This window comes from Homo sapiens, chromosome 4 (assembly GCF_000001405.40).
Source record: "Homo sapiens chromosome 4, GRCh38.p14 Primary Assembly".
NCBI classification, from domain to species: Eukaryota; Metazoa; Chordata; class Mammalia; order Primates; family Hominidae; genus Homo; species Homo sapiens.
The window spans coordinates 149247294-149273039 of NC_000004.12; the positions used below are offsets into that span (position 1 = coordinate 149247294).

At 37.3% G+C, this 25746-nt stretch overlaps 2 long non-coding RNA genes across 2 annotated transcripts in view; one reads left to right on the forward strand and one right to left on the reverse strand.

Annotated features, from left to right (window-relative positions):
* LINC02355 (long intergenic non-protein coding RNA 2355) overlaps positions 1–25746 on the forward strand; it is a 123829-nt gene that overhangs the window by 92999 nt on the left and 5084 nt on the right. Inside the window, exons 10-12 of the long non-coding RNA NR_125887.1 lie at positions 8711–8802; positions 8940–9105; positions 12684–12769. This is a non-coding gene — a long non-coding RNA (long intergenic non-protein coding RNA 2355). The remainder of the gene's footprint in view (positions 1–8710; positions 8803–8939; positions 9106–12683; positions 12770–25746) is intronic.
* On the reverse strand, positions 1282–17132 carry LOC107986320 (uncharacterized). Its single transcript, XR_001741885.1, has 4 exons — positions 17025–17132; positions 14806–14942; positions 6997–7184; positions 1282–1676 (listed from the first exon to the last, which is right to left on the reverse strand). It is a non-coding gene; the product is annotated as an uncharacterized LOC107986320 (long non-coding RNA).

Sequence of the window (25746 nt, forward strand, 5' to 3'; positions counted from 1 at the left end):
TTCCACATAAACTTGCCAAGATAAAGAACTTCTGTCAAATGACTCTCTGTTTCCCAGCTGCTTTCCGATTAGCATACAACAGTCATAGAGCCACATCTTGTGATCTCTGAGCTGCTAAACAGTTTGAATAAACCAGAATTTTACATTAAATGAAAATGACTATTAAAATGCATTTGAGTTTATGATGATTGGGCCTCTGCAGTCTTACACACTGAGCAGTTCTGAAATTTCTGATGACTTCCTCTTCTCATAATTTTGTACTGCATTTTAGCATTCTGAGCTTAAGAAACACAAATTCAATTTAACTTTCATATTGCTCATTTCTAAACAAAAACTCCACATTTCTTCTAAAATGAAAAAGTATTATAAACTTACCTAAAGGCAAAAATGTTCAGTGGTAATCTGGGCCATATACAAAAACACTCCAATAGAAGAAAATGGTTTTCAGTGGTAGTCTTTACATTTTTAATTCCTTGCATTATGCCTATAGTGTCAACGATTTTACTATCAAGTCAAAATGAAAGCCTTGGCAGCAAGGTCCCTTGAATAGTGAACAAAACAGGTTAATTAGAAGCATATTGAGGTTTTTTTTTAGTTGCAAATTCTCATGAGTAAAAGAAATGAAGTATAAATCTCATAATGCAAAAAGAAAATGGCATTATTTTTATACTCACAGATGAATAAGCTAGATCCTAGAAAAACTATCTCTTATGGAAAATCTATAACAATAGTGGAATTTTTTTTCCTAAGAAAATTGGCCCCATGCCCCCTTTCTCACTTAGAATCTACTCCTTATTGCTGCCACAGCATCAGCATTTATGTGTAAACTTCTCTTCTCCCCTCTGTTTCCCTATAGCTGTGAACCCCAGCTTCCAGCTCTTTTTGCACTATGTTTGAACAATAAGTGGATTTTGTGTGTGTGTGATGGCAGTGATCTACAGTGCCTTTCCATGTTCATCATGGACATCTTCCACTTCCCAGATTACCTCTGGCACTTCTGAGCCAGCTTCTCCCACTGTGCAGCATGCTCCTGGGATAAATTCCCTGCCATCAGTTGCTGTGTGGGCAGCAAATGCAAACTAATTTTAACCTTAGCTTAACCAAAGCATTATTAGACTCTTAAAACCACAGAACACACATCATATGGCAGAGACCAAAGACAAATAGGAATGATTTGGGGGAAAAGTATGGAGCTCTCTGATGTTGGGGGTTATTCCAATCTCTGATTCTCTCAGTGAATGCCCATAGCTGAGAACAGAGTTCTGTTTAAAAATAGTTTTGCATATTTATTATTCCTGAAGCACATGTCAGACAGACAATATTTATCTGGGTCAGTGAGCTCAGTTGGTACAGTGCTAATAAGGCCAAAAGCATGGACTCTTTCCCCATGGAAACCGGGAAAATTGACTCAGAGGAAAAAAAAGAAATCTATTCTACATTCACACATTGTACCCCCAAACCTGGCCAGACATCTTGCAAATGCATGCTGTGAGTAACAAGTGGGGTGGATAAGAGAGAATATGCTGCCTTGCAGTAAGTCCAATCAATGCAAGTGTTCTAGAGTTGACTCCAAGCTTAGATCCTTCAGGAAGCAAATCAGGATTGTGATTGATCAGGAGTGTTGGAATTCACATGCTGGATACAACTGGCATATAGATGCATATCACTGCCGCTTGCTATAGAAAATTGTAAGATAATATTATCTATGCTGACATACACATTATTTTAAAGAATTAATAATGAGTTCTTTATGGTTTCCACTATTTTGAGGGTTTATCTCTTATAAGTGACTCTGCCTTTTGGCCACACAGGAAGACACCATGTGGAAATATCATCTGCTTTGGAGTCAGAGACCCAAGATCAAATCCTTCCTTCATCATTTAGTTATGGCATGACCTTGGGCAAGGTACTTAACATTTTCTAAACTGTGTTTCTGCATATGCAAAATGAGGTTATAACAGAGTTATTAAGAGGATTCAGTGAGACAAGTTATCTAAAGCTATTAACTTAGTGCCTGGGACATAGTAAACTCTCCATTAATGGTGGCTTTTATTCTTATTATAGCATAGGATAACATACAAAAATGACAGGTAAGTGCCAGAATCATAATAGGCAATCAGTTAAGATCAATTCTCACCCTTCCTCTCTGGTTTGACCAGTTTCTGCTGTTTTAATGTAGGTATCACCCTTTTTTCATGGTGTTTCATTTCTTTTATCTTTGCAGGGTATTTTCTGTCCTCCTTGTTCAGGGCCTCTCTAGTTCTGCTGTCACTAGTCCAGGTGTGCTCTGTCCTACATCACTTCATTCCTATGTTGACCGAGTTCCAAGGCCCTTTTTATGGAGCAGCCCTCTTTTTATTTAATGCTCTGTAGGGCTCACTCATTGGAAGATTTATTTATCCATCCAAAGAAAACTATATTAGTGGTGGTGTTCAGGAAGCCAGATGTGAGGTATGTATTTGGAAGTTATAGGCCACTTAGTTTCCAGAAGGTTAAAAATATTACCTCTTTATAGACCTTTTATTTGTCCATGAACTGGATTCCATATTGGTGCCACATTCAATCTGCTGAATAAGTTTTTTTTATTTTTTTCCTGCTCAAAATGAAATTGAGAGGGGGCTTGATGAAAATAAATTGGTGGGCATGAAAGAGATTTGTAATGCACCTTAGCTCTATTCTCACAGGTTAGGTTTCTCCAAGTTTACTGTTTGAGCAGAGACTCTGATGCTGTTGCCGTACATCAGGGATGTATGTGGTAGAAGTCACCATACTTGATGTTTCCATTTGCATCTTGGACAGTGCTTTCAATTCACCTTCTAAGCCAAGAAGGAAGAAAAACCTTATTTGCCTCTCTCATGGGGAGGCTCTTTTTTAATATTCAAGAAAGTGCATCTGTGGGTACCGTCAAAGGCCTTTGATGAGAGCCCCACCAGAGACGTCCATGATTCTAGGAATTTCCTCTGGTTATTCTTTGTTCATTCCCAACTAGCTCTGGCCCCAGAACTGTCCTCACTTTTTCTTTTTTCATAATGTCTTAATCAGATTTGATATCTTCTGTTATAAATTCAATTATTTTTCAGTTTGTCCCCAACTGTGAATTTTCTAGACATTCTGGATCCACTCGTGGCCCTGTAGTTATATCTGACCTTCATCTGTGTTCTGTAGAAGTTTTGAAAACTTTTGGTAGGGGTCACAAGGAGACATGATGTTGGATGCCAGGATATTGGTATGGAAGGCCCAGCCAAATGAACAACATTCTTCTAAATAATAGAGCTATTTGGAGGATTCAGTGAGATAAAGTATATAAAGCTATTAACTTAGTGCCTGGAACACAGTAAACTCTCCATTAATGATGGCTTTTATTATTATTACAGCATAGGATAGCATATGAAAAGTGACTGTGTAAGTGAATTACTTTCTTGAAAACATTTTTCTCTGAACCCGTTCTTGGATATATCATCTAGCCTGGTCTAAAATGAGTTCTTTCCCAACCCTTCTTCATGATGTTGTCCACCAATAAAAGCAAAGATTTTCTCCTCAGATATTTTCCAAAGAATTATTGTGGCAACTAATAATCGGCACACCAGGAGGAGGCTCTTTGGCGTGGCTAGAGAGGCTGACAGTTGGCCTACAACTTAGAAGGGCATGCTCGAGTATTTTCTCACCACCCCATGAATAGTGTGAAAGACACATGGTCAAGTTTATTCACTCATCAAACTAATGCATATGGAGCTCTAACAGATAATTAAACACTCAATATAGAAAGATGAAGAAGACATTGTTTCTGCCCATCATCCAATGGGGAGAGACAGACTGATACATAAACAAATCATAACACAAGGTTAATTTATAGATAATTGACCTTTTTTATACTTCATTTATCTATTGACAATATTTCCTGCTTCTCTTTTTTCTCTCTCTCTTTTTTTTATTATACTTTAAGTTTTAGGGTACATGTGCACAACGTGTAGGTTTGTTACATATATATACATGTGCCATGTTGGTGTGCTGCACCCATTAACTCGTCATTTAACATTAGGTATATCTCCTAATGCTATCCCTCCCCCCTTCCCCCACCCCACAACAGGCCCTGGTGTGTGATGTTCCCCTTCCTGTGTCCATGTGTTCTCATTCTTCAGTTCCCATCTGTGAGTGAGAACACGCAGTGTTTGGTTTTTTGTCCTTGTGATAGTTTGCTGAGAATGATGGTTTCCAGCTTCAACCATGTCCCTACAAAGGACATGAACTCATCATTTTTTATGGCTGCATAGTATTCCATGGTGTATATGTGCCACATTTTCTTAATCCAGTCTATCATTGTTGGACATTTGGGTTGGTTCCAAATCTTTGCTATTGTGAATAGTGCCTGCTTTTCAATTCTATTGAAATATGACATCATTTAAGGTAGAGTCGGACTCCTAATGCCATGTTTCTCTTTAGTATCACTATATTCTCTATCCGTATGTATCTCCACCATTTTTTTGTTTGTTTGTTTTTAAATTTCTTTTCTTTCTTGTGGGACTTCAATCAATCAGCTCCATCTAATTTTCTCTTTGATGAGCTGCAGGAGCAGTATGATAAGTTTCAGTTTGTCTGCTGGCTCCTAGATCACCAACTAAATGTACTGAGACCTTAAAATCATTTGGTAAGGCTGTGAGTCAAATCTCCAATAAAATTATACACTGGGACATACTTGAATCAAAGGCAAACATGGACTACTTTTTGTTGATGAAATCCCTTGAGTCAAGGACTCAAATTTCAAAACCAAATATACTAACAAGGAAAGCCATTTATAATGTATTTCTTCATTAATTCAAACTGCCTTCACATTATTTTTCCCAAAAACTCATAGGATCCAGAACAGCAAGTATATTCTTTAAAAGGTTGTATTTTAAGCCAATTACAAAATATGAAGACTCTCAATTAGGCAAACTAAGACGTGAATATTCATACAAATTTATGGTTTTTTTCTGTCATTGAATATCAAGTCCTGGCAAGTCATTATCTTTCTTTATACTGAATGAACTTATTAACAGCAATTACAATGATCAGAAGTGAAATGTTTAACAGAGCTGACATTTAGGTGCTCATAACTGGGTTTGAAAGTCACCATATTATTGAGATGGATAGGAGAAGTTACTGTGTTATTTTATCTTGTTATAGTAGGCTTAGTCCTATGGGCAATAGTATATCACAGAGGGAGGTCAAGAAGTCCGTAAAGTTAAAAATAGGATGCAGTAGAAATCTTGCAGAGGGCCATAAATTTTCAGAAATCATAGAATTTGAGCACTCTCAGACTATGTTGTCTCTTTACAAATTGGGAATTATTCTCTGACCACACAACTGGAATAAATGTATTTGTGTGTCTATCTATTTTTCCCTTTTGTTACATCTCATCTGTATTTGCATCTGTTCTTTATTTTTCCTTTACCCTCTAAAAAAATTGATTCTTGTTAAGGAACTACTATGTAAAAAGTGTTTCTGTTTGTTTTGCATACCAGAATCCTGAGATTTTGAGTTATGTCTCTAGGTTTAAGCAACTATCTATAAAAATAATAGAATGAATCATTACTAAATCTTAATTAAACTATGGAGGCATGGCTATGGAATGAGATCTGCATACATTTTACTTAGGTTTAATTATAAATGAAGCCTGGTCCTAACGTTAACATCCAATCCAACCCTTCCTTCAATGGGTGACATTCTTAAGTAAATTTGGCTAAAGCGATTGACTTTGGCTTCTTTAAGTTTGGATTCTTTTCTTTGACTTTTGTTTTCAGCACTGCTTTGCACTCTTGCTGAAGGGTAAGCTCTGTAAGGCAAGACTTGTGTCAATTTTGTTCACTTCTGAAATTTCTGTGCCAAGATGGTGCTAACTCTTATTGGTATGTTAACCATCCCTCTATCTCCTACGATGGTAGTCACTTACGCTTTTCTGTATAATTGTCACATATTTGTGTCTACAGTGCCTACAAATGAATAGGTATGTGTGTATGTGTACATATATATGTATGTACAGAGATAAATTTTTATATTTTTATATATATAAATACATATACATACAAACATACACCTGATATATATTTTTTTAACTAACATGTCCACATTGTGTTTATTTTAATTCTAAGATGGAAATTAGCCTGGTGTAATAAGGGAGTTTTTGATCTAAAATAATTCACACAACTTAGTGTCTGGTAATATTAGGCAAAATAATTAACCTCTTTGAGCCTAAATTTTCTCAGCTGTAAAACAGATGCCTATCTCACAGGTTTTTGTCAGATTTAAATATAATAATATACATGAAGTGCTTAGTATAATGTTTCACACCTAATGTATGATCAATAAATGCTATCACCCTGGGGGAGTTGGTCTTATTCTCTCATTGTTGAGATGTGTGGGACATGATAATTATAAGGTTATGAAATTACTTAGTGTATATAGACAATGTATGACCAGTTACTGACTATGAGATCTTGTCTGGATGACGAGGCCTAATCAGCCATAGCATAATCGAATTGCTTATTTTGGCTTTAACAATCAGTTCTGCACAATTAGTTACTATCAAACTATTCAAAATGAATGAAGTTCCTGCTAGTGAAAGATTACTATGCAAACTATGTCCTTACTATTTGAAATATTACAATGTGACTTAATGCATTTATAAATAAAGATTCCTTCCCTAATACCCACAGTTAAAATATTGGCTAAACATTATTTGTATCAAAGTAAGCAAGATGTCTATATATTAGTGTCAATACATTTGTTCCACTGGATTGTAGATTTTAAACATTATCCAAATGCTAATTTTAAGTTATTTTCTCAGGCATATAGGCCTACAAGGGTGTACAGCAAACAGTACTAGAATTATCTTTGTATAGTTACTCAAAATTCTCCCACACAATTGCTTCAAAATTCCAAAGAAATATTGGTGTCAAGTTTAAAATCCTCTGAAAATTTAATGAAAAAAAAAGATGCTGGAAAATCACAGTTACTCACTTGATACTTTATCAAGTTGCATTTGACATCTTCATGAGGTTCTAGGGAGGTTCTACAGAGAATACCTGGGTCCATCTCCAATGCTACCCAACTGCTGGAACTCAGTCGTGTCTCTTCCTGGAACCACTTCTGCCATTTTGATTACCTTCTTCGCCCCTGAGGCATCAGGGTTTGGGATTCTTTGCTTACTTTTAGAGAGAACAGAGTGACTTCAATAAGAAGTAAGGAAAAGCTATTCAAAAAGTGAGATTCTACAAAGCTAGGTGTGTGAGGAGAATTGGAAAGTCACCTAGGCAAGACAGATGTTGCCCTAGGTGAGCACCTGCATGCAAAGGATGAGTATAGAGGAATGAATGGCTCTTAGTGGCTATTAGGGAAGTTTCAATCTAGCAGCAGTCATGGGTTTCAGAGAGTCAACCCTGAAATCATTTAATTTTAAGTTATTTTCTCAGGCATATAGGGGTATCATTTCTTAATAAATCATGACTTGATAACTGGTTAAGGGTGAAATCCATAAACTGAGAAAGACCAACAGCCTATCTTCTTCCACCTACTCTGCATGTCTAGCCCATCTTTATGCCTTATTTCTATCACTTGTTTTAAAAATATTGCTGTCAGTTATACGATTGGTTTTATTTAACAAATACTTACATAGCACTTATTGTATGCTGAGCACTACTCTAAGAATTTTAAAAATATTAGCTCTGTGGTTCAAAACCAGGGGCAATGTCTGGAAATAATTTTGGTTGTCACAATTTGAGAGGAGGTGTTGCTACTCCATCTAATAGATAGAGGCTAGAGATGATGCTAAATATTCTGTAATGCACAGGACAGTCCACCTCTCCTCCAACCCAACCCCAACAAGGAATTATCTGGCTGAAAATACCAACAGTACCAGTGTTGAGAAACTCTGTATATTGACTCATTAATCTTCTTAACAACCCTATTAAGTAGATACTGTTATTATCCTCATTTTATAGATAAGGAAAGTGAGACACAGAGAGATTAACTAACTGGCTCAAGGTCACACAGTTGATAAGCGGCAAGGCTGATATTGAAGACCAAGCATCCTGTCTCCATAATCTGTGCTCTACCACCACACCAGGCTGCCTCTCTCTCTCATAGTTAAGTGCAGGTTATCTTTGCTACTTTGAAATCTCATCAGGAAAAGCCAGGCTTCATCTCATCCCATTTTCTGACTTTTAGACCAGACCCCAGACAATGCGGGCTTTGTTCTGGGTTGTCCATCCCTTACATGAACGTCTTGTTATTCTGTCATCATGAGAATGTCAGATGCAGGGAATTTACTCATCCCCTAAACTGGTCCCAGCTCACAATGCATCCTTAACCCTGCTCTGGGATATTCATTCTCTTTATCCTCTTCTTCAATACTTCTAGCCTTTTGGCTATTTTAAAGCTAATTTATGTATGCTTTGGAAGGCAGGTAATGAATAAAAAATTCAAATGAATCTGTTTTGTGACAAGTTAGCATCCCTGAAGAAGGTGTGAATACACAGTTTGGAAACTTACGAATAAAATTAAAATTAGCCCATTATTTGGGCATTCTTTATAATAAGACTTCTTAGGTTCTTACATTTCTTTTATAAATATATTATTTGACAGTTGCAAAAATTCATGTGAACTTGCATGATAAGTCAGCCTTACCCTCCCCAAAATAAAAGTAGGACTGGGTATTTATCTTATCTCTTTGCAGTACTGTGTGTACATTTACTGAGAAGACAGAGGATTTCCAAGCAATACAAGAATTCTGTCACATAAACGATCTGATGGGAAACATATCAAAGTGTAAGTTTCAAAAAAAGCTACTCTGAAGTTTGCAAAACACTTGGCGTCCATCAAGCAATGTGTAGGTGGACAGCTTTGCTCTCAGTAAATCAGAAACAAGGAGTAATAATTAGGCTTCATTTTACTTTCCTCCACAGTGCTGGATTGCTGGTTCTGTATGCGTGCTGGGAAACAATCACACTCTAACTGTAGCTGCCTAGGTCTTCTGATGCCATGTTACAGATGGCCTGTGACCTGGGAGCACCCAAAGCAACATGCTGAGACTGAATACAACTCCCTTTACTTCACAGTTCTCATTTCCAGGCAAGCATCATTACCAACTCTGGGTTTGAAGACAGAGGTGAGCGGAGAAGAGAGGAGGGGAAGGGGAACCAAGGAGAGGAAATGAGTCTTTCAGCATTTAGAAAAAAAAAAGAGAAGGAACCAGCAAAGAGAATGGTAGGACAAAAACTAGGATAGTGTTGTCCTTCAAAGGCCAGGGAAGAAATATACTAAAGTAGATAAAGCAAACACCTGCATCAAATACTGTGTGATAGATTAAGTTCAATAGGCTTGGAATTGATCATCAGATTTGGCAACACAAAGGCCATGGAAAACACTGAAGATGTGTCCTGGTGACCATTTCTGCTATGGAGAGGATATCTTGAAATAGGAGGAACTCAGGACAGAGACTGGGATTCCAAAGACCTTCTCATTCTCTCTCTCTTTGCCATCCTGCATCTGATATTAGCCCCCTGATCCTGGTGACAGAGGTGATTGCAATTTAGCAAGAGTTGTTTTAATGGAGTATTGGGGACAAACTAGATTGGGGTAAGCCCATGTGGGAAGGTGAGGAAGAGGAGGTACCAAGTATCAACATCTCTTCGGAGGATTTTTACTATAAAAGGAAGCAAACGGGTAAGAGCTAGAGGAACACATGGGGTGAAGGGAGGTTTGTTTTAGTTTATTTTGTGGCTTAGATTAGAGATAATGCAGCTTGTTAGTAAGCTGGTGGGGTTAACCTAGAAGAGATGAGAGAAAGTAAAGGAAGAGCAGGGGGAGAGAGGTATGAGAAATAGATAAGAGAGAAAAAGAGAGATGAAAGAGAGATGAGAGATAGATGAAGGACAGGTGATAAATGAAGGAAGGAGCAGAAGCCTTGAGAAGGTGAGAAGAAATGAAATTGGGTGCAGCATAGAGTGAGTAGCCTAGATATGAACAGGGACACAGGACAGTTCACCACTTTTCACCAGAGGTAAAAAGTGTACAGGGAAAAAGGCTTACCCACAGATGCAATTCTAACTAGTGCTACTGCCTGGTTTCCCAGCCATGGAGTTAGTTCTTCCCATGAATTACGTTGTTTCTGGCCACTTCAGGTAAACAACTCTCCCTGTTCATCCTGATCTCCTGACCCACTTCTCCTCAGATCATGGACCCTGTCACGAGGAGCAGGGCTGACATGAGATGCAGGATGGCGGAGAGTGAGAGGGAACTAGAAGGCCCTTTCTGCCCACAAAGCCCTAGACACTGTTCCTGAGTCCCTCTTTCATTCTTTGATATCTTCCCCATCACAAAAATGGTCCACAGGCCATGTCTTCAGTGTTTTACTGCTAATCTAAGCTGACAACACGGGAAAATGAATTTTGTTTTTGCTTTCCTTAGAGACTAGGGACTTTGGAGCCAGAGACTTTTGCTGTCTGTTCACATTTTGCTGCAGAGAAAGAAACCAAAAACATGGAATGTTGTTGTTGCCTTTCAAACATTGAAACTTGTACCTAGAGACATAAATCTTCAATTAAGTGTGGTCCATTACAAATGGCAGAATCACTGAGTCTTTCTAAATAGTGATTCTGAGACCAACATTCAAATTCTCCTTTGTGCTGTGTATCTTGGCAGAAGGACACAGGTGAGAAGCACCATGGGCCTCACAGTGAATAAGATGCCAGAATACCAGGACATGGATCTGCCGCTCAGTTGGCTAGCTGGAGAAATTCTGTCCTATCAAAACTTCCCTCCCAATATAATTATTATGTACCTTGCATCATTTGGAGTTGAAGGTCTCTATGCATTAGGTAGAAGTGGCATAAACAATTCCATTGTTTAATTTTGAAAATATACATACAGGGAAAGAGCTTTTCCCTCCTCAATAACCAAGCTCATCCTGTCTCAGAAACTGGTCTTCTAAATCCCAGTAAGGATCCCATGTGGTTTATGGTTGCATTGTTGAATTTATTTGGAAATTTAAAATGCCCCTTTGGATAGAAAGATTAACAAATACTTTGCCAAATACATTTTTAAAATTTCAATTTATTTTCAAAAAGTTAAATCACTTCTTGTTCCCAGGCAACATTGAATTGAGTTAAAGATACAGATGGTGCCAAATAAGAGAGGCTTTGAGATCCTACCATTGGATCTATTTCAACATATTTGATAAGAATTAAGAAAGTTGTTCTGCACTGAGGAGTCTGTGGGCCACTCTGATATCTGAGGAAGTCAGCATTAGCCTCACAGAATAAAAATCCAGTGTACTGAGCCTGTGCCATAAAGAGCTTCAAAAAACTCACAAGCTAAAATATCTAAAAGAAGTAACTAATTTTTTTAAAAGGTGGCTTGTAAATGGACAAGTAGAGAGAAGCAGAAATAACACAGTGGAAAGACCACTGGGCTAGGATCAGATGACCTATTCAGGTCCAGCTGCACAACTTCCAGCTGTATGACAGAAAATGATGCTCTCTCTGAGCCTCAGTGCCCTTACTTCTAAACTGGGAATAATGATATTGTGTCTGCCCACCATATCCTTGCATTTCTTCATTCATGCAACAAAGGTTTGTGTTCTATCCTGTGCTATTATCACGGTGGAACACAGTGGCCAACAGGTGACACTTTGGAGAGCCACACGTCCTGTTGCAAGACATTGGTCAAGTTACTCAGCCCTTTTACCTGCCTCTTAGGACTCTACTGTAAATCAACTCATTTAACTGAGTTGTAATGGTTAGAGTAGTGCCTGGTAAATAGTGAGCGTTGGGTGTTTTTTGCATCATCATTCCTGGCCCCCCGCTAGATACGAGTACTCATAGGGAATAAGACAGATTTGGCCCTTGCTCTTATGTAGTTTGTTGTAGAATTGCTGCATACACAGGAAACTTCATATGCTTGCTTTAAGGGTCAGGCAGGATAATAATTGAGGAAAAAAGCTTTATAAGTTAAATTCTTTACAAATACAAGGCATTATTATTACTTGAATTCTCCACACTCCAAAGGAAGAAAAATGACTTTAATGATGTGCATTAAACTAAATAATGCAGAATTTAATTAGTTTAAACTGTGGGATTCTGTATAAAAGACTTTTAGGTGGGCTGCAGCATGGCTTTTAAGAAATAATGAGTTCATTTTAGGGTACTAAATGAGTTCCTAGTGCCTTAAAGAATGAATGTGCCCCCCCTGAAGAGCCCTCCTCAGGACTAACTTGGCACTAGGGCAAAGAGAGCCCCTTGTTATCCAGACAGCCATTCGTCCTTCCCATAAACCACCTTGGGCTATGTATGAATGGCCTAGCATCTTGTCTGTTTTTAGTTCCACTTTACTTTTTAATAGGCTTAACCCTTTCAATGTTTAATTTCTTTAAAGAATTTGGGAGTTTTTTAGTGTCCTCTTTTATAGAAATTTAAATTACCTAGACTGGCACAAGACATTATTTTTTTAATATAAATTGATTCAAACATTGGTAGAGTGTATGTCAATTACTAGCCTGACAGCTGAACTCTTGGAGATCTGGACAATTTAAATATTAGTGTAGACTTTCAGTAGCATTTTATGAGTTATATCCAAGACAATCAAAAGGAAATGAATGCATTCCAAATAGCTGGCATTTGATAATCTGCACTTCCTGGAATGTCCAACAGAGATATTTGCAAGGAAAGGGGACATCTGCAATGTTTGACATAACATCTTGTCAGCCATGTGGCTGCTTCTGCATTTCTAGAAAAAGGTGAGTCTAATTTCATGAAAGTTCCTATCCACTTAGCTGTCTCTAGATGTAAATGGTTTTTGGATTCATGTGTGGCACTGGAATGAAGTAGCCATTTTTCTTTGAAATAAAATCTCCAGCACTTCAAGTATGGTTCATTTTCAGAAAAGGATGGGATTTAAGTTTCCTCCTGTTATCTTGAAAGGTGTGCTTGGCAGATGAGCACAGGTAAGCAGAAGTACCATGGCCCTCAGCACAGTGAACAAGATCCCAGAACACCAAGAAAAGGATCTGCTGCTCATCTGGTTGCCTGGAGAAATTTTATCCTATCAAAACTTTCTTCCAAATATGGTTACCATGGACCTTGCATCATTTAGAGTTGAAGGTCTGTGCATTAAGTAGAAGTGGCATAAACAATTCCATTGTTTAATTTTGAAAATATACATATTATATAATATACAAATATGTATATTTGGAAAGACATGTTAAACCAATAATATGACTTTGAAAGATTTCAAATACACAAGTAGTTTTAAAAGTAATATCAGCAAATACAAATTAATTATTGTCCATGTTTAATAGTCACAAGCTTTAGGGAACATTCATTGAGTTTTAAATTTCATATTCTCTAATGAGAGATAGGCAGTAATGGGATAAATCCCAAGAATCTGCAGATAGGATTAAATTGACAAGATGTAAAGTAGGCATAGTCACAAAGAACATATTCCAAAAAAGAAAAGCCAGTAATTATCTAGCAGCATCAAGCCTGTGATAGCTCATCTTTCTACAAAATGGTAAATCAATAATGTTTTCCCAAGATAAAATTTTAAGAATAAATTTGCAGCATCATGCTTTGGAGTCAGTTGGACCTGGTTCTGCTACTTACTAGTGCTTGATCTTGGGCAAATGATTTAAACAAGGTTCTGAGCTTTCTCTGATGATAGTGTATAGTAATGCCTTCCTTTCAGAACTGAGACAAGAATGTAATAATGTAATTTATGAAAAGTACTTAGTTCATAGTAAATACTTTACATATGATATATGTGTATTTATATGTGTGTGTATGTACATACATATTCCTCCCTTACATATATAGCAGTTGAGACCCTGACTCAGCTTTTCAACGGCAAAATCAGGTTTGAATCTAAGACAAGTCTTTCAAAGTTTCTCATACTTTATGTGACCTTCATAAAGGCCAGTAAGTCAGTAGAACTCTCAAATTCTCATTTCTGCAAATTATCAGGTTGCCCTAATTGACTATTTCTATACCTAGTTGAGTACTACAATGAAAACAAGCCAACAAAAATGTGAATTAGTATTTAAGTGAAATAAGCCACAAACCAGCATGACAGAAAACTGAGGAAGTCTTCAAGATGCTAAAACTGGAAGGAAACCAATTAACTTGGGAAGCAGGTTAAATATAAGTACAACAGACAACCTGCTGGGTTTTTATTTAATATTGATGAGTAAAAAAAAATGTCTAATCCATTCACAGTATAAACTAAACCTTGCAATAGATAGCAACATATTAGCATATCCAAAACTTAGATGTGTCACTCTAGGTTTTACTTACCTTTCACCTATCTTTTGCTTTAGCTTATGTATTTTGCTAGGCAATAATAATGATAATTCTTGAAATTCTTCCAAGCCTTATTTGAAACTAGCAGTATCTACTAAACGCCAAATCCCTTATGAATGGATAGCAATGCAAAAGTAGTGCCACTAGTAATAACACATACACACACTCTCTTCTAGTCTATGTAGGAGATATAAATAATTATGAGATGCAATCTTTGATTTAAAGATGTTTACAATATAGTTTGCGAAAATGTTATTTAGCATTAGATTACTTTATGAATGGCAGAAAACTAAGAAAAAGTAGTAGCTTAAAAAAGTATATCTATTTCCTAGTGTTGCTGCACAAAATTATCACAAAGCTGGTGACTTTAAATAACAGAAATGTGTTCTCTCACGGTCCTGAAGGTCAGAAATTTAAATACAAGGTGTTGGCAGGCCCAGGCTCCCTTTAGAGACTCTGAGGGAGAGGTCTTCCTTACCTCTTGCAACTTCTGGTGGCTTCCGTCATTCCACGTGGCTGTATTACCCAAATCTCTGCTCCCTGTGCACCTTTCCATCTCCTCTGTGTGTTTGCGTCCCTTCCTCTATTTTCTGTGTGACTCTCCTTGTAAGACTCCTATAAAAATACTTGTTATTGGATTTAGGGCTCACCTGGAAAATTCAGGATGATCTCATCTTGAGATCCTTAACTTAATTATATTTGCAAAGGTTTCCCACCCACTCCCACCCCAATAAGGTTATATCCACAGGTCCCAGGAATTAAGATGTGGAAACATATTTTTGAGGCCACAGTTCAACCCACTACAACAATGTGGAGTTTATTTCTCTCTAATAAAACCCAGGCAAACAGTCAAATGCTGATATAATCCTCCGTACTGTGTCAGCAACCCAGATTCCTACTGTCTGGTTTTCCTGCTAAAAGCAATTTTCTTTCTGAAGACCCACCATGTAATCCATGATGGTTTCTCCAGCCACCACATCTGATTTTGAGACAGTAGAAAGAGAAATAGAGTAGAAGAAAGCCAAGAATAAAAACTGAAGCCAAAAATGGTATGGCTTTTTTTGGACTTGCATATATACATTTATATTTATATCTCTCTGTAAGAATAGTCAAGTGGCCACTCTGAGCTACAAGAGAAGGTGGGAGAGGCTCTTATTCTAGGAACTCATGTGCTCAGTTAAAATTCGAGGCTTTTATCAAATGTTGGAGGCTAATTGGCAGTCTCTTGTGCAGAGAATCTAGCAGTGATGATTGGCTAGCTAACCTGGCCCTTTCCTAGTCTTTTGGTCCTTTGATCTAAGAGCTCATCTCACAATCCGAGTTGCCCTTGCTACCCAGAATGGTCACAGGTCCAGTTTTGGCCAATGAAACTTGGGTAGAAATTGCTCAGGGCTTCTGGGGATAATGAGCATTCCTGATGAAACAGCAGACTCGGCTTGTGCTTGACATTCATGTAGCCATCTTGTTATCATGAAAGAGTTTTCCAAATGAAATGTAGAGCTGCCCATGTTGTCCTAGACTCCTTATTGGGTATGAAACATAAACTCCATATTTTAGGCCTTGGTAAGTTTAACTAGCTTTCCTGTTACTTGCAGCAAGCACATTCTTAAACAATATCAGGCCATGAGATACATGCACATATTAAAGGATATTAAGCCATGTAAAGCAACGTATCATAGGGCACTGTGACAGAGCCCAGAAGAGGGGAACCCTCTATTGCTCACATGGTTCAGAAGGAGCTGATTCCTAAACACCAGGATTGATGAATTTGGCAATGTGGGAAAAGTGGACTTCTGGATGACATTAAGACTTAATTGACTTTTCATGACCATAACTTCCAACAACTTGGATTGTTCTAGTCACTTGTTACCTGCAACCACTTAGATTGCCACATTAAGGGGAAAAAAATCATCCTAAGAAGAATCGTATGCTGTACCACTCACCTCAGGTTTAATAGTGCTGATGAAAATTACCTTGGAAAGGACTAGAAAAAAAACTAAGACCTAAGAGAGAAAGGTGCTATTTGGGGGAAGGCAGGCGGGGAAGAAAAGTAGATATGGAATGTAAGAGGAAAGAGGAGAGGATCAAAGTTTTGAGGGAAACAGAAAAGAGTTTGGAAAGGCTGCTCTTGTTTAAAAAAATCTTCTCCACCCATGCTGGTGCCACTTTCTTGCCGCTTCAAGAGAGTTCAAAACAGATTTATAACAGTATTGAAGGCTTCTGGAGTAACATCTGAATTTCTTTTGAATTATATACAATGTAGACAGCAAGATAAATAAATAAAATAAATAAATAAAATAGATTTATTTAAGCAAGGCATATGGGGAAATATTTGCACCTCTAAGGTTGAAAAGACAGCAAAACTCAGCAAACTCTACATAGTATAAATTCAATTATGATCACACAAGATCATCTTGAACTACATAAGTACTTTTACTCAAAGCAGAAACACTTGAGAAGCTGGGCACTGAGCTAACCATAGAATCATTCACCCCTTTAAAAAAAAACACACAAAAAAAAATGCATAAGACACAGAAAACAAATATGGCCTGATATATGGGTTGTTTGCACATTCGTTTCAATAGAATTCTACTTTTATTGCTTTTTAAAAATAGTGTGCACAGCATGAAAATAACCATCATGAGCATGTCTCCATAAATCATTTTTCCCTGTGCTGAAGGAGCACAATTTCCCTACCTGAGGAGCAGTCAGTTGGTGTTTACTTGCTACACTGTGCCATCTGGTGGCAAGTGCTAAAAATTGCAGACACAAGGTCCCTGGGTTCCAGAGAGACTCTCAGGCCGTATACCTAGAGGTGTCAACCCAATGCAAAAGAAATAAATACAATGACTCTCTTTAAAGACATGGGTTGAAGCCAAAGATCAAGTTATTTGTTAGTTATTCTCATTGGTATTCCTAATATATATAATATCTTCCCAGTAAAAATTACTTTATGAACAAATTGATTCTTAATAGCAATAATTTTCAGTTTGCACAATACTGCAGTTTTCAAATCCCCATTCATATTCACTAATGCACAAGATGAGCAGGAATATTGCACCTTTCTCACAAATGGAAACTGAGGTTCAGGTGGGTTAAAGAAATTGCTCAAGTTTGCAAAGCTTATATTAGAAAAAACAAGCAACTACTGAAGCACAAATAAAGACTTTCTCTGTTTCCAGTCTAGATGTTTCCTTTATAACGATCCTGTCTCTCCATGCTTAGCGTGGGATGAAGCAGTTTTAGTTGAAGCTAGGTTGAAGCTTTAGGTGTAGCTGGAAATAGTTTTTTAAGTTAGGTGCTATTTTGGTAAAGTAGTAGTTGCAAGCTTCCCCAAAGGAGTCTGAAAGAAGATTCAGCAGACCTTGGTGACAAGAGTTGTGCATCCTAAAGTTTAATATACGACTTCTTTTGCTTGTTTGTTTTTCCTTCAGGCCTTGTATTTACATATATGCAATACCATCTCTTTGTCTTTGTGTTTTATTCTCCTGCCCTGTCTTGCAATTTATTCTTTGTTAGCCTGCTTTTCATCAGAAGAACCACCTACTTTTCAGTAGCTTTCTTTTTTTCAGGTGGCCTCTCACTCCCTCCCGGTAGATGTATTCCTTTCAGGGTTAATCAAAGGATGATATTTAAGTTGTCATCTCTGCTTGGGCATCTAGATGGCTTGTGCCATTCATATCAATGAGACCTTTTCAACCCTAATATCTGTTTCAGTGATCTATGGAGTGCAGCCTTGAAACTTAATTATGGTGATGTTTCAGAGGCTCATGGACAGATTTAAGCATCCTGCTTTCACATCATTAGACAGTCCCAAGTTCCAGTGCTCTAAAAGATTGAAGACCAGTCTACTGTATGTCTTACCTTCATTATGATCTGTAGGAACAAGCCTACATTTCTCAGACTCTGTTAGAAGGTTTTTTATCTTTTGGCTGTGATATTTCACTTCGTATAAGACAATTGAAATGTAAAGCCTTTGTGAAAAATGCCTACGTAAGCCAATGAATATCATCCCAAATATCAGTAAGTAGTTTGATCATTGCTATATAGTTTTGTACATTCTTAGACTTGGGCAATGAGTCCTGAAGCCACTCCAGGGCCAAAAAGGGGGCTTATTAACCTCATATTCATCTAAAATAATCTTCTGGGAAAACACGATAAATATGCATTTTATGACATGTCATCATTATTGGTTCATCAAAACTATTTAAATATATGCAGATTTCAAAATTTATCTACAATTGCGTAACATCGTCTTCCCAATAGTTATCAGAACACTGAAAATTCCAAATTTTTATTTTGCTTTATTCCATTTATCAGCAGCAGCAATAAAGATTTTGGAATAGAACTTGGGTAGCAATTTGGGGATGATGTATTAGCCCTTCCTCAGCTACAGTTGCTCTAGAGGACTGATTAATATAAATGTCAGCTTATTTGTAAACTAGGAATATGTAACACAGAAAAGAACTGATAGTGCCATTTCCAGAGCCTCCTTTCAAGCCTAAATGAACTGTAGTTGGGTAAGGGCCACAGTCGATAAACACTCGAAGTAATATTGCCTAAAGTGACAAAAAATACAGTGGCATCAATCTCCTTTCAAGGCCAAGAAGCTGCTTATTCAGTTTCAAGAGCTTAGCATATAAATACAGTTTACAAGTAATTTTAAAATGATCACGAAATCCTGTGTATATTTGACTGTTAAATCAAAAGGAAGCCTGTGGTGTTGCTCAAGCCCAATAATCACTTTTTAATATTCCTGGGGAGGCAGCAGCATGATGAAAAGGATAAGGAAGGTATAAATCAACTGAAGGAATTCAGAGTGAAAGACCTTCATTTTTTAAAGGCAGAGATTAAAATCACCAAGCTAATAAGATCTGCTCAGGGACCTAGAAATGTCAGCCAAAAATGTAGAAAATGTATACTCCAAGAGTGAGCTTTACTTGAGTTGGTTTATATATAATAGTTTTCTGCTGAAAACAGACGATTAAACGTGCTGTTTAACTTAAAGGTAGTGTTTAGTTAGAATGTTATATACAGGGTATCTTATTCATATATTAATAGTCGTATCTAATAGAAAAATAAATAAACATTACAAATAGATTTTGCATTCATTTCCTAGCTCTTTCCTTACATCTGGCATTCATCGCTTTGCTCCCGATAATACTGCTTTGCAAACACCTTTCCCTGATCCAAGGTCCTCAGCGGTCCTCTTTGTGTGTGGGGGAGCCCCTCTTCCTAACTATTTAAAATATTGATATTATCTACTGATTTGGCAGTCATTCCTAATAGATTGGAGGTGTCTTAAGGAACAAAATAATATCTTAGTAACTTTTATATATCTCCATGGCCTAGGAAAGTTCTTGAGAAATGGCAAGTGCTCAACACAAAATTGTTGATTTTTATGTAATTCTCTTCCTATATCTCAACATAAACACATTTCCCACCAGCTGATCAACTTACTGATCCCCAGACACAGAACATCCTCACCTCTTTACTTTTTACATTTTTTCCTTTCTTGGTAGATACAGTCTATGAAACATTGTTTCCCAGAAAACATGGATTTTTCCCTTCCTGCAGTATTTAGTATTTCCTCCAGTTTTCCTAGCTAGCTCTTATTACTACATACTGTCTTAAGTCATTACTTATCTTTTAAATTCACAACCAAAATCCCTAAACAAGGTTAAGAAAAAACTCATATTTTTGATTTCGTTATATCGCAGTTACCCAGAGCACCAGCACACTCGGGCGCTTGGTAAATCTGTGTTTAAAGAAGGCAGGTTCAATGATAGTCTAATGGTAAGATAGCATCATAAAAATAAAGCCCAGCACCTGACAACACAACTAGAAACTATGAATAGCATTTTGATAAATTATGTAAAGCTCAGGCTGAAAACATGCAATGCACAATGATTTGATGAAATTCACTTTTAAAGGTAACTGGAATCATTACAGTGAAAATGTTACATAGAAAATTCTACTCATTAGTCACAGTGTAGGAAAAGAAAATGCTGCTTTCCCTATGAAGATTGTCCTCATCCATTCCCTTCCCTTCCCCAGCCAAACTAGAAGTAGCCTTCTAAGATAAATAACCAAAACTTAGAATTTGTTTCTCAAGCACTTGTTTTTTTCTCAACCATGCTTTGGATACTTCCATTTTCAGCTTGGAATATACTTAACATAATTTTATCTGTCCCCTTCTAAGCCGTAAGGTATTTAAGGAGTCAAGTTTAATTTATTTTTTAAATCCTCCCAACACTTAGAGCAGAGCTTACAAACAGAAGGGACTCAATGCATGCATGCATACATAAATGAATAAGGGTCTATGTCAGGCCAGGTGGAGTGGCTCATGCCTGTAATCCCAGCACTTTGGGAGGCCGAAGTGGGCGGATCACTTGAGGTCAAGAGTTCAAGACCAGCCTGGTCAACATGGTGAAACCCTGTCTCTACTAAAAATACAAAAATTAGCCAGGCATGGTGCCACGCAACTGTAATCCTAGGTACTGGGGATGCTGAGGCAGGCAAATTGTTTGAATCCAGGAGGTGGAGGTTGCAGTGAGCCAAGATCATGCCACTGCACTCCAGCCTGGGCGACAAGGCAAGACTCTATCTGAAAAAAAAAAAAAAAAAAAAAGAGCCTATGTCATTAATAAGGGGCATTCAAGTTAAAATGTCTGTGTCTGGAGACTAACAACTGATCTTAATCCTAAGCAGCACGTTTTAAAATTATACTGTTTGTGGCTAAAATACCTCTTAATTGGATATTACATTTAATATTGCTAGTGTTGACTTTGTGTGCATGTGTGAAAAACAATTATTACTCAATGGCACACCTTAGAATAAATGGCATCTTTGATTTGAGGAATGAGTATATAGGTCCAAACCTCGAACTTAAGGATCAGATATTGGATTTCTCTGTGCCCCCAAGAGAGTACATGGTTGAGGGTAAGAAGAGAAACTTTCCATCTTTTCAGAGAGGTACAGAGTCTTTGTTTCTATGTCATTCCTGGAATGAAACTAGTAAGTCTTATCTATGACTGGAATACATCGTAGCTAATATTGACTTCTGAAGAACTAGGAATTGTTTTAAAGGGAGCCAGCCACCTGTTCACTGCTTTTCCTGCATTCCTTTGTTCTTAAATGTGAATCTGCTAACCTCACATGTCCCTATGATCACTGGGATTCATAGTCATCTTTAAATATAGCTGCCTTTCCCTTCTGTCTTCATTCATATTTTGCCCGAACCTTCTCATTCATGAGAAACTCTAGTTACTTTAGAGATGTAAAATCTTGGGTCTATGGCCAAATAGCAGCTGGCCAGTTTTGAAGTGAAATTCTTGGTAACAAACAGGTCGAGAAAGAACAAAAAACATGCATCACTAGTGCACCTAGAATTCTACCTAGAAACACATTCTTCAGCACTAAACATGCTGACAGCACAGTGTGAACATGACCTTAATCACAAAGGACAGCAGGCTAAGCTACCCACATTGCAGGATAGGAAATAAGAATAAGAACCGTCTCTGATCCCCTGCCACCTAGTTTGAGATTATCCATAGAAACTATAAAAGTGAAGAGAGGAGAGAAATCACATACTGCATTAGTTTTGGATAATGGCCAGACAACTCCTTAAGTATATATATATACTTCCCTTTCCCAATAAGACCACCTATTTTCCATTTTTCTTAACACATGACTAAGCTAACTATATATATATATATATATATATATATATATATATATATATATATATATATATACACACACACACACACACATATGTGTGTATATATATATTTGTGTGTGTGTATACATATGTACATATATATTCATTCAATCCCTGGTAAGACAAAAAGATTCTTATTTCTCAGGAATAACATGGAAATTTCTATTGTTTATATTCCCGTTTTCTTAGCCCAGCAGTCTAACAGCTACATGGCCATGTATATGCATCTGGGTAGGGATGAGTAGGCAAATGATAAAATATGCATTAAATCACATTGTATTTTGATGTTTGATTATTGCTTTGAGAGACTGTCATTTTCCATGTGATTTTAAAGAGTTAATATTTTTCTAGCTTAATTTTATTTTACATCCCCAAAATCAGATTGCTCCCAGAAAAATACCACTTAAATGGGAAAAATAAAAGGAAGCAAGAAAGAGATTGACAAAAAAGTAGGCTTGAATACATAATGAATGCTTTGCCACTCATTGATAGACAACGCTTAAAACAAAGCATTGTTGTGTGAAATGTTCTAGAGAAAAGAACTGAAGAGTTTATCAAATGAGTTATTGGAAAAGATTTTTTTCTAAATCTGCCAGAAATGTACCAGGCCATTATTGCATCTTATAAATTATTTATTATTCTTAGATATGTCATAAAGTCCAACACAAATAAAGAAAAAATGCTGACAAGACAGAAACATCATTGTGAATATAGAGGTTGCTTCCTGAAGACTTGCAGAAAAGTTCCAAGAATCTTTGCACCTTGTCCACCACATTTTTCACTACTTACATATTTTGTTTCTTTGTATTTGAAAATATCACCACTTCCCTTTCCCAATAAGACCACCCATTTTCCATTTTTCTTAACACATGACTAAGCTAACAGAATGTAAACCTTGTGTGTGTGCAAGAGGGAGAATTAATCATGAAAAATTAAGTAAAATATAATAGAGAAGAGAAATCCAATTTTTGAAACATCTATTAATATGATTGCCTAGTTTATATGCATCTCTGCCAGATTTTGCTATTGCCCATGACTGCCTTAGCTATTCCGGAGCTGTACTTAATAAAACAGTGAAATCTCCCTAATCTTTCATTCTTATGAAGCAGGCTAATGAAATACCATAGAAATAGTTTCATTTTACACTGGGAAGACATTAAATATCTAACTGTAAAATATTTTCTTTCTTATTCACTTTTAAGGGGCTTATGAGAATGAGTATGGTTTTAAGTAAAAGCAGAAATTTCAAAGTTTCCTAGTCACATGAAGACACACCATCTTTTATCTCTTGCTTTATTCTTTGCTCATTACTTACTTTAGAGTCTGAAAGAACATTTTTCTCCCTCATGGCCTTTCCAGTGAATGAATAGAACTAGGTCCAAAATTTTCATGGGACAGACACACTGCTTTGTACATCTTAAAACGCCCCACAGCACTTCAAAAAATGCTTTACAGGCCTCAAGAATTCCATAAATACTCCTTGATTTTAGTGAGTTGTGTGTGGAGTCAGGTGCAGAGATTCTTTCACCTTCTATTACTGGTGCTTAGAAAACTCCAGTGCACTGAATACCATACCACTTTATCAGCCCTCATTCTCTAGGACTGGTTTATGAGAGGTCATAGCTCTATTATTTTGTACCTAAGAAATAATATCATGTATTTTAGCTATCTGCCATTTAAATCCTGTTCATAAACACACAACAAAACTAAGAAGACAACCTGCCTACTGCCAATCCTCAGTCAGGTGGCTCAAAATTGTCCTGTTTTCATCTTTATCTTATATCTAACTAAATACACTTTGGATATATATTTTCTTCTTTGGATACATATGTTACACATTTTCTTCTTTGGATACATATGAGAAACGTTCTCATGTACTATGTAAAGCGTTTCCCTGGCCATATTCAGATGAGGGAAACTAAACTATAGATGGTTTAAAATACTAACTACGTAGAAAATTTGAGGCATTGTAGTGGGAACTGTAGTGGGGCTTGAGATACAGTGAGGAAGGCTGTAGAGCTGCATTTGTTGTGAAAGATGTAGCAAATGGGGAACTACTTCAATTTTATACATTTCATTTCACCACATTCTGGATCTTAGAATGACGTTAACACAAGTATTTCTGTGAGGCAGCAGAGAGTATTGGGCTGGTGGTGATGAAGCCTTCTTACTCACAGGCCGGGAGACTCGGTAAGCATTTCCCCTCCCAACTGCAGCTTCTCCTATTATAAAGTGAGGACATTGGACTGAGTGTTTTAATGTTTTATCAGCTCTTGTGTCTTACGAAGTCCATCTTTGATTCTTCCTGTCTTCCAGTACCCCATTACTGATCATCCCACAAGGACTCCTGAGTTTTCCTTTATAATGTCTCCCCTACTTTTAAGGCCACTGTCTTGGTTCAGACTCTTCTCCACACAAAGGCTTCCTAAGTGTTTTCACAACTTTTGTCTTTATGGCTAATTCATCCTGTACATTTAGCCTCCTCAAACCATGACTTGATTGCATCCTCTCCAGCTCCTGCATCTTCAGAGATGATTATCAGAGAAGGGAATTCATCTTCCTCAGCCCAGTCCCTCCTTAGCCAGAGCTGCATCAGTCTTTTACTTGCTCTTCATTGGGAAATTAACTTATAGCTGGCTTTCCATCCCTTCTGTCTAAACAGTGGATACACATCTTTCTCTTTTTTGTAATTCCAAACATAACCCTTGTTGGTGCAATTTTAGGACCACTTCCTTTCCCAGTTTCCTCGAATGCACAGTGGCCTCCTTCCTTTTTAAATCTCTAATAGTGTTAAATCTCTTTTCTGCTTACATGTTCCTTGCTGTATATTTCCTCGTAATTATCTGGCGATATTATCTGCCAGTTATAACGTATGTGGCCTTGGGAAAATGACACAATCTCTCAAGTCCTCAGATGCTCTGTCTGTTAAATATGAATAACACATATATGTACCCACAGGTGGTTTTGAATTCCCTCACATAATGCATATACAAAGCACTTAGCGCAATGATCAGTTCCAAATGATGACTACTATTACCTGAAAAAAGGTATATTGTCCTTTTTCATTATTAGTTGACTCTTAAATTATAACAGGGCATTAAGGCAAGGAAAAGTAAAGTAATGTAGATTTCTGAGTAGAATGTCTTGCATATACAAACATATGAGTGTTCCTCAAATAACCATGGACATAACCAAGAGTACGTGAGAACGGGGAGTGAGAAATCTGTAAGAGAAAAATGTCTGAGGAAGATACCCTCCTCACGGTGGAATTTTCGAGGATTTCCCAAGAGCAATAATGACAGTGAAACCATGCTGAGAAGGGACACTCAGGGGCAAGTTGCCATTCATTTCTATGTGAGACAGGGGTGGCCTCGTGGGATCCAGGAAGAAGAACTCAAGATATTATAAAGACCATCTCATTTGGAGAGCAGAAGATTGGAGGTGAAGGCGAGCTTCAGAGCAGAAGGTGTTTCCTTTGGCAGTTGTGGACTGAAGATATCAAGGCTATGCCCGGGGTGTTTAAAAACAGCAGACAACTTATGGGGGCTTTTCCTCCAAGAAGCAGGTCTGTTCTTGAAAAGACAGTGAGTGTGTGATGACACTCCTCTCTCAGGCCCCACTGGCGCCATTACTACTAGGAAAAGACAGTTTTCCTCTTTTGGAGATCGCCTATTATCTACACAAGGAATGATTCCT